The sequence below is a fragment of the Homo sapiens genome, chromosome 12 (assembly GCF_000001405.40).
Source record: "Homo sapiens chromosome 12, GRCh38.p14 Primary Assembly".
Lineage (NCBI taxonomy): Eukaryota > Metazoa > Chordata > Mammalia > Primates > Hominidae > Homo > Homo sapiens.
In genome coordinates, this window is record NC_000012.12 from 54,929,240 (window position 1) to 54,946,501 (window position 17,262).

General features: G+C 42.7%; 1 pseudogene, besides 1 other annotated feature; it reads right to left on the reverse strand.

The window, feature by feature from the left end:
- The window catches only part of LOC105369778 (small integral membrane protein 10-like protein 1), a 30,020-nt pseudogene extending 13,011 nt beyond the window's left edge, over positions 1-17,009 (reverse strand).
- Positions 5,752-6,951: an enhancer, noted in NCBI's record as "MED14-independent group 3 enhancer chr12:55328775-55329974 (GRCh37/hg19 assembly coordinates)". NCBI's record gives its function as "activates an origin of replication core promoter dependent on BRD2, BRD4, P300/CBP and CDK7 cofactors, and independent of MED14, by STARR-seq in HCT116 cells {active_cell/tissue: HCT116}" and the evidence as "EXISTENCE:reporter gene assay evidence [ECO:0000049][PMID:35650434]".
- Positions 17,010-17,262: the final 253 nt, after the last annotated feature.

Sequence of the window (17,262 nt, forward strand, 5' to 3'; positions counted from 1 at the left end):
CCTGACATATATAAATACATAGACATATAGTAGCAGACCAAAGTGTATCTTATAGATTTATAAGATCATTATTTTGTCAGTTTTCAAAATTTCTCTGCCCCATTGTAGACTTGCAATTTTTTTGAGAGCCTGTCTCATTGCCCTAGGCAATTGTCAGCTAGACAGCTCTAAATTTGCATTCTAAAGCAACAATTCTTAGGTGAAATCAGATCGAGAATTTACATCTCAAGGTACAGAGCTAAGAAGTTGGGCCTAAAAGATCATTTTACGCTCAAACCAAGGAAATAAAAAAAGAAATGGTGTAAGTACATTTTAGTTAAGAAGCCAGGAAAAGCACTTTGAATGGAGGCATGACTTATGACAATAAAGAGAAGTTTTAGATTTAAGAATCTCTCTTCTTGCAACTCTGAGGGTTCCATGAGGAAAACAGAGCTTCCTCCTAAAATGGAGTTTGTAGTGACTTTTCTGTTTCTCCCAAAGGAATCACAGGCTGTTGAAAATTATTTTGGGTCCTCTCATGCTGGCATCCAAGATGGCAAGAGGAGAGGGAGGCCAAAAGCCCAACTGGTAAAAACTTTACCCTTATGTGGGCATGTCAGGCTTTTTGGTTCCCTTCCCCTGAGCCCAATCCTAAGCCAACCAGTTTAGGGTTTGGGAAATCAACTCTTTCCAGTTTGGAGGATGCATCTGAGGGGAGTATCCCATAGTATGGAGACAGAATTATCAGTGAAGAGTGACAATGGAGGAGCAAGGAAAAAAGGTGCTTTTTAAGGGAGTCCCAGGATTTCAGGATACATTCAAGAGGGGTACAGACTGAAGATGACTGGCTACTCATCTAAGAAGGAAGTGTACTATATGAATCATTATCAATCTATTGCACAGGAAGATATAAGTAGTGAAAATAAGAGTGAGAACTCCCACTAATAAAAAGTGAGAGTCTCAAAGGGGGGAAATGAGAGAAGAGAGACAGGCCCTCTCATATTGTTTTATACTAAGAAAAAGAATGAGAAGCGAAATTAAAGGCAGGTAGCCCAGCTCCTAGGAACCAGACCTGAAACCAAGGAACCAGACCCAAAACCAGGCCTGGGCCTGCCTGACCTAAGTCTGGTAATTAAAGATCGATCCCTGACCTAACCGGTTATGTTATCTATAGATTCCAGACATTGTATGGAAAGGCATTGTAAAAATCCCTGTCCTGTTCTCTTTCATTCTGATTACTGGTGCGTGCAGCTCCCAGTCACGTACTCCTTGCTTGCTCAATCAATCATGATCCTCTCACACACACCCCCTTAGAGTTGTGAGCCCTTAAAAGGGACAGGAATTGCTCACTTGGGGAGCTCAGCTCTTGAGACAGGAGTCTTGCTGATGCTCCTGGCCAAATAAACCACTTCCTTCTTTAACCTGGTGTCTGAGGAGTTTTGTCTGCTGCTCATCCTGCTACACTTACAAGTTTTGGGATAGGCAGTGGAGTTAGGAGCAATGTTTTGCAGACAGGGGGTGGATCTCACAAACTACATTCTCAAGGGTGGGGAGAATTACAAAGAACCTTCTTAAGGGTGGGAGAGATTACAAAGTACATTGATCAATTAGGGTGGGGCAGAAACAAATCACAATTGTGGAATGTCATCAGTTAAGGCTATTTTCACTTCTTTTGTGGATCTTCAGTTGCTTCAGGCCATTAATAAGAAAAATAAAACAAAATAGTGGTAAAGTATTGGGGCAGCAAAAAGTTTTGGGGGTTGTTTGGAGAGAAATAGGCAATGTTTCTCAGGGCTGCTTCGAGCGGGATTAGGGGCAGCATGGGAACTTACAGTGGGAGAGATTCAACTGAAGAAAGATTTTGGGGTAAGGGATTATATTGTGGGGTTGTTAGAAGGAGCATTTGTCATATAGAATTACTGGTGATGGGCTGGATGCAGTTTTGTATGAACTGAGAAACTAAACGAAAGACACAAGGTCTGAGTAAAAGAAGGAAAAAAATAGGTATTAAAGGACTAATAATTGGGAGTACCCAGAACATCCAATTAGAGAGTGTCCAAGGGGGTTCAACATTATTGTTTGCTTGGTTGGTGAGTTTTTGGGCTCTATGCTTGAGTTTTTTTATGTTGTCATATACCAGGCCTGATTGATTTAAGTAAAAACAACACTCTTCATTTAAAAATATACAAAGTCCTCCTTTTTCAGCAGTGAGTAAATCAAGGCCTTGGCAGTTCTGTAGGACAACTGCAGCTAAAGAGTCAACCTGGGCTTGGAGAACAGATAAAGTTTGTGATATATCTGTAATGTTAGCAGAGAAGTCATTAGAGAGGCTGCAGAATGTCGTGGCAGTGGTTGAGATGCCTGCTATTCCAGTTCCAAGTGCAATAGTGGAGGCAGAAAGTCCTAGACCCACAAGTAAAAGGATTAGTGGGATGACTCTTTTTTGTCATGTTGATGTCATGAGGGGGACAGACAGTTGTTTGTTCCCACCTGCAAACTGGATTTTGGGGGTAAGGAAGACTGGAATACATGTGCCCGTCCAGTTGGCAGGTAGGCACATGTAGGTGGAAGAGCCACATAAAAAGAAGAGACCTTTTGCCAGGCAGAACTGGAAATTTAAAGTGAAAAGGTGAGAGGGTGTACTGAAAGAGGAATCCTGCACCCAAAATCCTAGAGATCCAGCGAGGGTAGCAGCTGTTAGAGGTTGTAATGGGGATTGATGGTGCAACTGTGTAGAGGGCGGGGTTCAGTTTTCATGGTGTATGAAAAAGCACATAGTGTTTACAAGTAACCTTTCACTGCTATTCATGGGGCTGGGTATAAGCAAGCAAGAGGAGGGGCTAGGAGGAGATTCAGATGAGCAGGGGGAGGGTAGCCAATGATGGAGTGAGATGCAGGGTAGGTGTCTTCCTAAACAATAGTGATTGCCAATGTTTTTTAGTTTGTCAGTAATGATAGAGGTCTTATCAGTAATGCAAAGTTGGAATGCTACCATCTGTTTGATAATGTGTGTGGCTGGGTTCTGGAGATAAAGAGTAAAGGAACATGTGGACAGTGGAAGGTTGCCTAAAAGGATTCCAGTAGGCTGTTGTCGGGAGATGCATAAAGGAGCGGCAACAGGGATAGGATAGTTGTTTGTGTGGTTAGGGGTCCAAATTTGGGGGGGGGGGGTGCAATTGACATAAGGAGAAAGGTGCCGTAAGTAGATGCGGAGAAGTGTGGCAGCTTGTTGGTGTGAAATGTCTAGGGAGTTCTCACCATATCTGTCTAGAAAGTAAAGAAGTTCCTCAGGCGGGTAAAGATGAGGGCTATTTTCACTTCTTTTGTGGATCTTTAGTTGCTTCAGGCCATCTGGGTGTATACGTGCAGGTCACAGGGGACATGATGGCTTAGCTTGGGCTCAGAGGCCTGACATTCCCGTCTTCTTGTATTAATAAGAAAAATAAAATGAAATAGTGAAGCGTTGGAGCAGCACAAAATCTCAGAGGCCTGACAAGTAAAGATTTTATTGGGTGAAAAGGGGGGGAAAATGGAAAAACAGAGACTCTTGGTGAAGTGAGAGAGTGTGCTTTCTGCCTTGCAGATTGAATCCCAGGTTCCACCCAGGAAGAGGAGAGGCCAGGCTCCTCCCCACTGCAAATGGCACGAACTTCTGTGGCTCCACCCCAGAGTGCACTCCTCCCAGTGTGCAGACCAGCTGGAGTTTTGCCAGGGAGCCCTTCCCACCTGGCTGTCTCATTATTACCAGATTTTAGCTGAGGCAAATAGCTGATATTTCTGGCTTTTGAGCATCTTTACAAAGGGTAATCTCCCCAGTGAAGCCAATAAGCATTAATAAGGTTATGACTTAACTATGGAAGCGTTCATACAATTTATATGATTACTGAGTACTCTAATTGTAAGGAGAAGTTAAGAATAGCTGGTTGTCAATCTTTATGTTAGTGGAAAGAGGGTTCTCAGATCTCATGAAAGAAAAATTAGGGGTGAGTCCACAGAGTCCACAGAGTAGAGTGAAAGCAAGTTTATCAAGAAAGTAAAAAAATAAAAGGGTGGTTACTCCATAGACAGAGCAGCCCTAATGGCTGTTGTTTGGCTATTTTTATTGTTATTTCTTGATTATATGCTAAGCAAGGGGTGGATTATCTATATGTTTTCCAGTAAAGGGGAAGGCAATTCCTGGAACTGATGGTTCTGCCCCGTTTTAGGCCATACAGGGCAACTTCCTGGCATTGCTGTGGCATTTGTAAACTGTCATGATGCTGTTAGGAGTATCTTTTAGCATGCTAATACATTATAATTAGTGTATAATGAGCAATGAGAATGACTAGAGGTCACTTTCATTGCTATCTTGGATTTGTTGGGTTTTGGCTGGCTTCTTTACCACATCCTGTTTTATCAGTGAGGTCTTTGTGACCTTTATCTTGTGCCAGCCTTCTTTCTCATCCTGTGACTAAGAATGTAGCCCAGCAGGTCTAAGCCTAATTTTACCCATCCCCTATTCAAGATGGAGTCACCTGGTTTGAATACCTCTGGCACTAACTTAGTCATTAAAGAGAATTTTTAAGACAAAATCTCAACTTAGCTGTTATCCAGGAATGAGGCTCAGGCTAAAGACTGCTCTCTACCATTGTAAAAGCAGGAAAAGTCACCTTCCTTTCCAGAAGCAAGCAGAACTCCAGAATGGAATTGTAATAGCAAAATAAACCTTAGATCTCACTCCAATTTTGGGAGATCAAGGCTTCACTGGAGAGGATGAAGCTCCCAGACCTCAGCAAGTTGTCCTATTGGTTTGAGCAATAAAAATAGCCCAAGTTAGTATCAGGCACCGTTAGGAGTTTTGCCACAGGTCAAGGGCCACCTCCACTCAGAATTTCATCATGGTTGCCAATTTGTAAACCTAAAACAGTGTCTCTATTAATTTAAAGGTTCATTTTGTCAAGGTTGAGGTTGTCCCTAGGAAGAAGAGACACAAGCCACGGTAGGATCTGTGGCCCACAATTTTTCCAAAGAGGATTTTGAGGGCTTCAATATTTAAAGTGGAAAAAGTGGGTGGGTGGGGAAAGGAGGAAGGAAAAAAAAGGGAGAATATGGTCACATTCTTGTGAGGCTTGGGTTAGCTATCACTGAATCTACCTGTTACATGTGAAAAGGAAAAGATAGAGGAATAGCCAATTATATATTTGTCTTGCACTTCATAAATCTGTACTTTGCTTAAGTTAAAGTAAACAAAGAGGAGAAGTCAAATATGCATTCATCTCAGGGTGGACAGGGGGACAATTTTTAGTTTCCTTTTGTTCCATACCTGTAAAGATAAGCTGTTAATTTACATTGTCACGGTGAGGGAGGCCCCTTGAGTAGATATATGTCCTCCTGTCTCATAACTATCTGTTTAGGAACAAAAGTAAAGTCAGCATTTTACATGACTCAGTTTCAAAGCTTTATTTTTCCCTTTGGTATAGTGAGTTGGAGTCCTGAGATTTTATTTCCCTTTCACAGGGGTACAGACACATTGAGGATGAAGAGGTTTCAACCATTTTTCTTCTAAGAAGAAAGTATAATAGACTCTTGGGTAGGACCTCAAAAATTGATCATCAGGAATTAATCATCCCTTTCCACTCCCAATAATTCTACCTTTCTACAAGCATAGTTGATTTTTAATCACATTTTTTTTTGAGACAGAATTTTGCTCTTGTTGCCCAGGCTGGAGTGCAATGGCACAATCTCAGCTCACTGCAACCTCCACCTCCCGGGTTCAAGCAATTCTCCTGCCTCAGCCTCCTGAGTAGCTGGGATTACAGGCACCCGCCACCACACCTGGCTAATTTTTTGTATTTTTAGTAGAGACGTGGTTTCACCATGTTGGCCAGGCTGGTCTCAAACTCCTGACCTCAGGTCATCCATCCGTCTCAGCCTCCCGAAATGCTGGGATTACAGGAATGAGCCACCACGCCCGGCCCACATTTCTTAATTGCCATGAATTCTTAAAGGTTTTTCTGAACTCACAGCCCTTTCAATTTTATGGAAAATTTTTGTTTGCAAGGATTTCCAAAGCAGAAGTTTTTAGCACTTGCTCAGTAATCGTCATGTGCTTCCTTATTATTACTGACAGTTAGTTCCCTCTTGGGTCCTTTCTTAACTTTGTTATACTGAAATCTTAGCTCTTTCTCTCCTCCAATTCTTTGGCAGGAAGAACATCCGTTCTCTGTTCTTTGCAGGTAACAACGTGGCTTAGACATGTAAGCAATGACTCAGTTCCTACTCAGTCTGCTCTTTCTTCAGCTGAGTCATCCTGACACCCACTGGACAAACTGAAATAGTCTTAGTCTTTTTTGTGTTGCTATAATAGAATACGTGAGGCTGAGTAATTTATAAAGAACAGAGGTCTTTTACCTCACAATTCTGATGGCTAGAAAGTTTGAGATTGGGCAGCTGTATCTGGTGAGGGCCTCAGGCTGCTTGCAGTCATGGTGGAAAGTAGAAAGGCAGGTCATGCAAACATATCACATGGTGAGACAGGAAGCAAGAGAGAGAAACCAAGGAAGTCAGGCTCTTTTTAACAAACCACTCTCCTACGAACTAATCTATTCCTATGAGAACAAGAGAGAACAAGAACTTGCCCCCACAAGAGAACATTAATCTATTCAGGAGGGATCTTCCCTTATAACCCCAAAACCTCCAACTAGGCCCCACCTCCCAACACTACCACACTGGGGATACAATTCCAACATGAGTTTCAGAGGGAAGAAACTCAAATCTATGGCACAGCCCAATGCATTTTTAAGGCATTTTTAGTAACAAATAAACTTAGAAAAAAAAAAATCTCAACCGTCTCTTTGCAACTGGGCAGGTTCACTTCCTTCTGAAGAACTAGACTCCTCAAGGACAGGAAATGGGCCCAGGCTTCCCTCATACTGTTCCATCGGGTAGCTTCTAAGGCTCTACTTTCAAATTGCTTACCTTGTTTCTTTGGGCATACCTATGAATAGAAGGGCCCAGTGCCTGCATTCTAGTAGTGATATACATTGAGAAACACATTGTATTCAAATGGATAACTTGAGATCTATTTCTGTTGTAGGAACTAACATAGAATTCATTTCAGTGTATAAGAAAGCCTTTAGATCTAACTTGAATCATTCTGGTTGTTTTTAAGCTCATTGAATGTAAAAGTATTTCTTATAATTCATTTGGGGGAGGATAATGCAAGGTAGAAAGAAACCACATGGAAAAATACCTCATGACTAAATCAAAGATTCAAACAATTAATATTGGTAAATCTGAGGTAATCTAGTTTAATATCCTTAGTCTTCATTCGTTCATGTATTTAGTCACAGAGCAACTCAGGCATAAAGCACTATTCTAGCCCTTGAGGATAATAGTGGACAAAAAGGACAAAAATACCTTCCCTCATGAGCTTACATTCTACTAAGGAGAAAGAGACAATGAACACATTAAATAAGTAAACATAAAATGTGAAATAGGATAAGTTCTATGGAGAAAAATTATGGCAGGAAAGGGGTAAATAGAAGATGTGGGCTGGTGCAGGTGGAATTGGAAGTGGATGAGAACACTGAGGCTGAAAGATGGAGAGAGACTTGTCCAGGGTCAGGCAGCAGGTTGGAGCCATGATGAGACAAGAATCAAGGTTTCTTTACCTTCAGTCCTGTGTACATTTCTCTACTCCTCCTGCATGTGCGAAGATCAGAAGGCACCCTTACGCAGATCACTGCATCCTGACTCACCCTGTTGAAAGTCAACAGGTTAAAATGCAGAACAATGTATTTTTTTCTTAAAATGTTGATACAATAACTGGTAAGTTTAGGGAGTGGTGGAATATGAAAAGGGAGTAACTGTGCCTTAAACTGCGACTTGTAAAAAAAATATAATTCCCTGGTATACATTTGACTTGGTTTAGAAAGCACTCTCTTATTCTTTTGTCTGATCTTCACAACAATAACTTGAGAGGAAAGCAAGCTTTATATTATTATCCCCATTTTAACAAATGAGGAAACTCTCAGGGTGCTCTTGAGCTGTCTCTGAATCTAACTAGAGCCAAATACCTGAGAATCTGGCTAACTTGAAGAGCTAACTTGAAATAAACACCCAATCCCTAGATTTTAGCAACTCTGGAGACCTTGTTAAAAATTTAGACAAATTAGATTTAAAAGAATTTATTTGAGCAAGGAATGATTCATGAATCAGTCAGCACTAATGTGATGGTTAATATTAGGTGTCAACTTGGTTGGATTGAAGGATGCCTAGATAGGGGGTAAAGTATTGTTTCTGGGTGTGTCTGTGAGGCTGTTTCCAGAGGAGACTGACATTTGAGTTCATAGACTGGGAGAGGAAAGCCCACCCTCAATGTGTGTGGGCACCTTTCAGTTGGTTGCTAACTCAGCTAGAACAAAGAAGGTGGAAAAAAAGTGGGATAAGCTGGCTTGCTGAGTCTTCTGGCTTTCATCCTCCTCCCATGCCAGATGTTTCCTCCCTTTCCTCCTGCCTTTGGACATCAGCCTCCAGGTTCTTTGGCCTCTGAACACTTGGACTTACACCAGTGGTTTGCCGGGGGCTCTCGGGCCTTTGGCGATAGACTGAAGGCTGCACTGTCGGCTTCCCTGCTTTTGAGCCTTTTGGACTATTGGCTCCTTTCTTCCTCAGTTTACAGGTGGCCTATTGTGGGACTTTGCCTTGAGATCATGTGAGCCAGTTCTCCCTACTCAACTCCTTTCATATATTCATATATCCTATTAGTAATGTCCCTCTAGAAAACCTTGACCAATACAACACAGAACCAGACAAAGTTCAGAAAGCTCAGCCAAGCAGTGTGAGCCGTGAGCTTTTACAGGCTACACACAGAAGCTGAGTAGAGATATCATCTGATAACTAGGAATCTGCCTTATTTGGACATGGTGTGATGAAACATTTGCCTTTTTTGGGCATGATGTGATGAGTTGGCTGCCTGTGATTGATCGAAGTTTAATTATTTATAATTGGCTTTTGTTACAAAAAAAGTTCCAGACATACTCATTTTGTTGTGTTTTATTTTATTGTACTTTGCAGATATTGAACTTATTACAAATTGAAGGTTTGTGGCAACCTTGCATGGAGCAAGTCTATTAGCACCATTTTCCCAATAACATGTGCTCCTTCACGTCTCTGTGTCACATTGTTGATATTCTTGTAATAGTTCAAACTTTTTCGTGCTATGGTGATCTGTGATCAGTGATCCTTAATGTTACTATTGTACTTGTTTTGGGACACCACAAACTGCCCAAATATGATGGCAAAGTTAATTGATAAAGGTTGTGTGTGTCTTCTGACTTTTCCATTGATTGGCTGTCACCTCACCTCATCTTTCTCCCTTTCCTCCGGCCTTCCTATTTCCTGAAACACAACAATATTGAAATTAGGCCAATTAACAACCCTGCAATGGCTTCTAAGTGTTTAAGCCAAAGGAAGAGTCGCATATCCCTCACTTCAAATCAAAAGCTAAAAATGATTACGCTTAGTGAAGAAGCCATATCAAAAGCTGAGATCATCCAACAGCCAGGCCTCTTGCACCAAACAGCCAAGTGGTGAATGCAGAGGGAAAATTCTTAAAAGAAATTAAAGTTGCTACTCTAGTGAACACACAAGTGATAAGAAACTGAAACAGCCTTGTTGCTGATATGAAGAAAGTTTTAGTGATCTGGATAGATCACAGAAGACACAACATTCCCTTAAGCCAAAGCCTAATCCAGACAAAGATTCTAACTCTCTTCTATGAACTTCATAAAACTCTTAGTTCTATGAAGGCTGAGAGAGGTGAGGAAACTGCAGGAAAAAAGTTTGAAACTAGCAGAAGTTGGTTCATGAGGTTTAAGGAAATACATTATCTCTATTGCATAGAAGTGCAAGGTGAAGCAGCAAAGTGCTGATGTAAAAGCTCCCGCAAATTATCCAGAAAATCTAGCTAGGGTAATTGATGGAGGTGGCTACAGTAAACAATGAATTTTCAGTGTAAGTAAAACAACCTTCTATTGGAAGAAGATCCCATCTAGGACTCTCATAACTAGAGAGGAGACATCAATACCTGGCTTCAAAGCTTCAAAGGACAGCCTGATTCTTGTTAGGGTCTAACGCAGTTGGAGGTTTAAGTTGAAGACAACCTTCATTGACCATTCCAAAAATCCTAGCGTCCTTGAGAATTATACTAAAACTATTCTGCTTATGCTGTATAGATGGAAAAAAGCCTGGATGGATGACAGCACATCTTTTTATAGCATGGTTTACTGAATATGTTAAGCCCACTGTTGAAATCTACTGCTCAGAAAAAAAATATTATTTTTCAAAATATTACTGTTCATTGACAATGCACCTGGCCACTCAAGAGCTCTGATGGAGATGTACAAGACAATTAATCTTTTTCATATCTACTAACAAAACATTTGTTCTGCAGCTCATTAAGGAGTAACTTCAACTTTTAAGTTGTATGTTTAAGAAATACATTTTGTAAGGCTTTACAAAATGGATGGATCTGGGCAAAGTAAATAAAAAACCTTCGGGAAAGAATTTGCCATTCTAGATGCCATTAAGAACATTTGTGATTCACGGGTGAAGTCAAAATATCAACATTAACAGGAATTTGGAAGGTGTTGATTCCAACACTCAAGGATGACTTTGAAGGGTTCAAGACTTCAGTAGAGGAAATAACTGTAGATGTGGTGGAAATAGCGAGAGAACTAGAATTAGAAGTGAAGCCTGAAGATGTCATGGAATTGCTGCTTTGATAAAACTAACAAATGAGGCAGGGAGTGGTGGCTCATGCCTATAATACCAGCACTTTAGGAGGCTGAGGCAGGTGTGTCACCTGAGGTCAGGAGTTTGAGACCAGGTTGGCCAACATGGTGAAACCCTGTCTCTGCTAGAAATACAAAAATTAGCCAGCCGTGGTGGAGCGTGCCTGTAATCCCAGCTACTGGGGAGGCTTAGGCAGGAGAATCGCTTGAACCCAGGAGGTGGAGGCTGCAGTGAGCCCAGATCGCACCATTGCACTCCAGCCTGGGTAACAAGAGTAAAACCCCATCTCAAAAAAAAAAAAAAAAAAAAAAAAGCAGTTATTTCATATGGATTAGCAAAGAAATTGGTTTCCTGAGATGCAATGTACTCCTGGTGAAGACGTTGTAAACATTGTTGAAATAACAACAAAAGATTTAGACTATTACATAATCTCAATTGATAAAGTGGCAGTGGGGATTGAGAGGATTAACTCAAATTTTGAAAGAAGTTCTGTTGTGGGTAAAATGCTATCAAACAGCATTGAAAGCTACAGAGAAATCTTTCACGAAAGAGTCAATCATCGCACAAACTTTATTGTTTTATTTTAAGAAATTGCTACAGCCACACCAATTGTTAGCAACCACCACCCTGATCAGTCATCAGCTATCAACATGGAAGCAAGACCCTCTACCAGCAACAAGGTTACAGCCTGCTGAAGCTTCAGATGATCATTGGCATTTTTTAAATAATTAATAGAATATTTGAATATTAAGATGTGTACTTTTTTTTGACATAATGTGATCACACACTTAATAGATGGCAGTATAGTGTAAACATAACGTTTATATGCACTGGGAAACTAAAAATTCATATGACTCACTTTACTGCGATATTTGCTTTATTGCAGTGGTCTAGAACTGAATATGCAATATCTGAGAATCCGGATGAGGTAGTCCTGTGCTCTTAAATTAGGTTGCAGTTTGTTAGAAAGCAACTCAAAGTACATTCACAGCCTCAGGCTAACAGCCTCCTACTTTTAAAATTTAACAGTCTGTATCTTCTCCAAGCCAGATGAATGCTTCCTCTCCCTCACTTCCCATCCAAGCCGTCCCCACTGCCGTATTCCACCCAGTAGCCTCAGAGGCCTCTCTGTAGCTCAGGAAAGTGATCTCCTAAAGGCTTCTCCACCCATGTCACTTTCCTTGGAATTAGCTCCCTGTAATGACCTTGGCTTTCCCTGGCCTCCCCTTAGAATTCACTTAGGAAGTCCAATTTGCATACATACGCTTGTCACTTTTTGTTTTTTTGGGCAGCACTTATGAGCTCTAGCCTGTTTCCTGAGGGAGCCTATCTCCCACATTGGCCTCTCTTCCTTCTACACGGCTTTCAGATAATGCAGGATAGAAATGGGAGGTGGGAGAAAGTCATGGCTGAGAAAAGTCAGCACTGAAAGGGGACAGTGAGGAATTGGGAGAAAGGCTTGGACAACATGGAGAATGCATGTAACAGTAAAAAAAAAGCACTTCTGCTCATGGCCATAGGTCCAGAGCTCTAGCCCTGGATGCCCGCCTGCGATCTTGATCACATTCCTTTGCTCTCTCTGGCCCTTTTTTGTTTCTTTACTAACAGACAACTGGGCTAGTCCTTTTGAATTGTGGTAGTCTGTAATTTCCAGCCTCAGTTTACCCATTGAGAATGGAAATATTAGCCCCTGCTTTGCTAAGTTCACAGTGTAACAATTTGCCTTACAGCTTGTAAACAAGCCTACAACCTTATCGAGACTGCAGTGCTGCGCTCTGCTTAAGAAACCACTGAATTGCCATGTGTCTAATCCATTATTCCTAAACAATGCAGCAGCTCTGCCATCCACCCAGCTTCTGTCACTCACATGGGAGAGAGGAGGGAACTGCAGAGTGGCCTAGAAACAATGAACAGTTGTTAAGCAGCAACCAGCCAGTTCCCTTGGAGTGTGGACTCCTTCCTCCCATCGCCCCATTGCCCCTTCACTTAAGGACAGTTTGTGGCTGGGGAGGCTGGCAGAGAAGCCTGGTCCTCCCTGGTAGCCAACTGGAGAAGGTGGAGCCAGGCAGATTCTGGAGAGACCTAAGGCAGCAGGGGAGAAAGGGAAGCCTTTGTTCTCAGGGCTAATAATAAAACTTGCTGCAAACTATTCGCACTCACCAACTCAATTGTTTCAGAATCTTTGAGGTGGGTGGAGAGGGTAGGGCAGCAGGGGAGCATATACTGTTTCTTTCTCCCTCCCTGGTGTTTCCCATGCAGATCCATTTGTCACTCCTCATGGTCTGTGTGGCCTGAGACTAGAGACTGAGGAAGCCCCTAGGGAAAAGAGGAGATTATCTTGATCATACCCCCGCTACCTCCAAAATGAGATCTCTGATAGACACACACTCTAGATGCCTTTCAGTTGTCCACTTTCAGTTGTGGAGGAGTAGTGTCTGGCAAAACTGAATGTGGGGATTGCCTCATTCTGCAGCCCCAACCCATTTCCTCATGGAGATGGGATCAAGGATGCTGTTAGTCTCTTAGGTTCTTAACATGGTTTGTGTCACATGGGTCTGAGTGAAGAGACCACCAAACAGGCTTTGTGTGAGCAATAAAGCTTTTTAATCACCTGGGTGCAGGCAGGCTGAGTCCAAAAAGAGAGTCAGCAAAGGGAGATAGGGGTGGGGCCGTTTTATAGGATTTGGGTAGGTAGTGGAAAATTACATTCAAAGGGGGTTGTTCTCTGGTGGGCAGGGGCGGGGGTCGCAAGGTGCTCAGTGGGGGAGCTTCTGAGCCAGGAGAAGGAATTTCACAAGGTAATGTCATCAGTTAAGGCAGAAACCGGCCATTTTCACTTCTTTTGTGATTCTTCACTTGCTTCAGGCCATCTGGATGTATACATGCAGGTCACAGGTGACATGATGGCTTAGCTTGGGCTCAGAGGCCTGACATTCCTATCTTCTTATATTAATAAGAAAAATAACATAAAATAGTGTTGAAGTGTTGGAGCAGCAAAAATTTTGGGGAGGTGGTATGGAGAGATAATGGGCGATGTTTCTCAGGGCTGCTGTGAGCAGGATTAGGGGTGGCATGGGAACCTAGAGTGGGAGAGATTAAGCTGAAGGAAGATTTTGTGTTAAGGGGTGATATTGTGGGGTTGTTAGAAGGAGCATTTGTGTATAGAATGATTGGTGATGGCCTGGATATGGTTTTGGATGAATTGAGAAACTAAACAGAAGACACAAGGCCCAAATAAGAGAAGAATAACAGGTATTAAAGGACTAAGAATGGGAAGACCCAGGACATCCAATTAGAGAGTGCCCAAGGGGGTTCAGCATAATTACTTGCTTGGTTGGCAAGTTTTTAGGCTCTATCCTTGAGTTTTTATGTTGTCGTATACTAGGCCAGATTGATTTAGATAAAAACAACACTTCATTAAAAAATATACAGAGTCCCCCCTTTTTAGCAGTAAGTCGGGGCCTTGGCGATTTTGGAGGAAAGAGAAATGCAAAGTCAGCAATTGTTTGTTGAAGAAGGATTAGAAATGGCTAGGAGAGAGTGAGTGAGATTGATAGTGTGGTAGAGATAGCTGGGGAGAGGTAGAGGGTGGCATAAGAACAGAAACGAGAATAAGAGTGAGTTTAAGGTAAAGAATAGGACTTCATCAGGGTGAAAGTATTGGAGGGTGCCCTGCCAGCAAAGATTATTTACTTTAAGAGGGAGTTAAGAGTGGTGGTTTGGGGATAGCACCAGGAGATATCAGCTGTGATGGCTTGGAGAAACAGTGTAAACCGGCAGTGTAAACAAGAGCAGGGCATTTATGAGTAGTTGGGAATGGTGAATAGAAGAATGACTAGACAGAAGATAGTAGGGATGACAAGTTTTTGGGGCACAATCCAAGTTGGGCTGGTGTCTGGAATGAGACTGGGGCCTAATAAAAATGAGCATCCATACAGGAGCTCAAATGGGCTGTACCCTGTAGCATTCCAAGAACAGGCCCGAATTCTGAGAAGGGTAAGTTGTAAAAGTACTGCCCAGTCCTTAAGTTGGAGGCTGAGCTTGGTGAGGTGTGTCTTTAAAAGACCATTAGTCTGTTTTGCTTTTCCTGAAGATTGAGGATGGTAAGGGGTATGAAGTTTCCACTGAATACCAAGAGCCTGAGAAACTGCTTGGGTGATTTGACTAGCAAAGGCCTGTCTGTTATTGGACTGTATAGAGGTGGGAAGGCCAAATCATGGAATTATGTCTGACAGAAGGGAAGAAATGAACACGGTGGCCTTCTCAGACCCTGTGGGAAAGGCCTCTACCCATCCAGTGAAAGTGTCTACCCAGACCAAAAGGTATTTTAGTTTCCTGACTTGGGGCATGTGAGTAAAATTAATTTGCCAGTCCTGGGCAGGGGCAAATCCCTGAGCTTGATGTGTAGGGAAGGGAGGGGGCCTGAACAATCCCTGAGGAGTAGCAGAATAGCAGATGGAACACTAAGAAGTGATTTCCTTGAGGATAGATTTCCATGATGGAAAGGAAATGAGAGGTTCTAAGAGATGGGCTAGCGGTTTGCAACCTACATGGAAGAGGCTATGAAATGACAAAAGAATAGAATGGGCCTGTGAGGCTGAAAGGGGATATTTTCCTTGGTCTAAGGACCATTTTCCTTGTGTGGGAAGAGATTGATAGGTGGAAGTTTCAGTGGGGGAGTAGGTGGGAGTGACCGATGAGAAGGAGAAAAACTGGCAGTTAGGGAGAGAAATTGGAATGCTAGCTGCTTCTTTAGCTATCTTATCAGCATAAGTGTTGCCCTGAGTGATGGGATCTGATGCCTTTTGATGGCCCTTGCAGTGAATGACTCCAGCTTCCTTTGGAAGTATAGCGGCCTTGAGAAGACTATTTGTTAAAGAGGCATTAATGATGGAGGACCCTTGTGTAGTGAAGAAACCTCTTTTTGCCCATATAACAGCATGGTGGTTCAGGATATGGACGGCATATTTAGAGTCAGTATAAATATTGATGTGTACTCCTTTTGCAAGAGTGAGGGCTCAAGTTAAGGCAATGAGTTCGGCTTGCTGAGAGGTAGTGGAGGGGGGAAGAAAGTATATGCATCAGATGTGAGGAAGAAAATAGATTTTGGAAGTTATGACAACTGCAGAGAGTGAGTTGAGCATAGTTTGTGATTTTGAGGACCTCTAAAAGTATTAAAGCAGTGGTACCTGCCACATGCAGACATGAGGGCTAGGCTAAAACAGTAACGTCAAGTTGTTTGGACAGAAAGGCTAAAGGGCGTGGTCCCAGCTCTTGTGTAAGAACTCCAACTGCACAGCCCTGCACTTCAGCTGTGTGTAGTGGAAAGGGAGTGATAAGTTAGGGAGAGCTAGTGTGGGAGCTGTTTTTTAAGGAATGGATAGGGGAGTGGAGAAAGGATTTAGGATCTATGGGGTCAGCTAGGTTTACCTAGAACAGAATAATGGGTTGTGGAGGGAGGTATTGAGGATAGGAGAGTATATGAGGTTTCACACCACAGGGTGGATACGCAAAACAATTTGGTTGATAAGGCACAGATCCTGACGTAACCTGTAAGACTTGTCCAGTTTCTGGACAGGTAAAATGGGGGAATTGTAAAGAGGGTTTATAGGCTTTAAAAGGGCATGCTGTAACAGGCAAGTGATAACAAACTTTAATCCTTTTAAAGTTTGCTGTGGGATGGGGTATTGGCATTGAGTGGGATAAGGGTTATTAGGTTTTAATGGGATAGTAATGGGTATGTGACCAGTTGCCAGGGAGGGAGTAGAGGTGTCCCATACCTGTGGATTAAGGTAGGGAGATACAAGGGGAGGATTTGAAGGAGGCTTTGAACTGGGGAAAAGGGTGGCAATGAGGTGTGGCTGTAGCCTAGTCAGGGAAGCAGATAATCTAGTTAAAATGTCTTGGCCTAATAAGGGAGCTGGGCAGGTGGAGATAACTAAAAAGGAGTGCATAAAAGAATATTGTCCAAGTTGGCACCAGAGTTGGGGAGTTTTGAGAGGTTTAGAAGCCTGGCTGTCAATACGCACAACAGTTATGGAGGCAAAGGAAACAGGCCCTTTAAAAGCAGGTAATGTGCAGTGGGTTGTCTCCATATTGATTAAGAAGAGGAAGGACTTACCCTCCACTGTAAGAGTTACCGAAAGCATCTGTGATGGTCCAGAAGGCTTCTGAGGCAAGTGGGCAGTGTCAGTCTTCAGCCACTGAGCCAAGAAGATCTGGGAAGGAGTCAGTCAGAGAGCCTTGGGCCAGAGTTCCAGGGGCTCTGGGAGTGGCTGCCAGGTGAGTTGGACAGTCCGATTTCCAGTGGGGTCCTGCACATATGGGACACAGCTTAGGAGGAATCCCAGGCTGTGGGCATTCCTTGGCCTAGTGGCCAGATTTCCAGCACTTGAAACAAGATACTGGGGGAGGAGGTCCTGAAGAAATGCCTGACTGCTGTGGCTTAGGCGTTTTGAAGTTCTTGTGTGCTGGAGATGTGGCTGGAGTTTCTCTCACAGCAGCGGC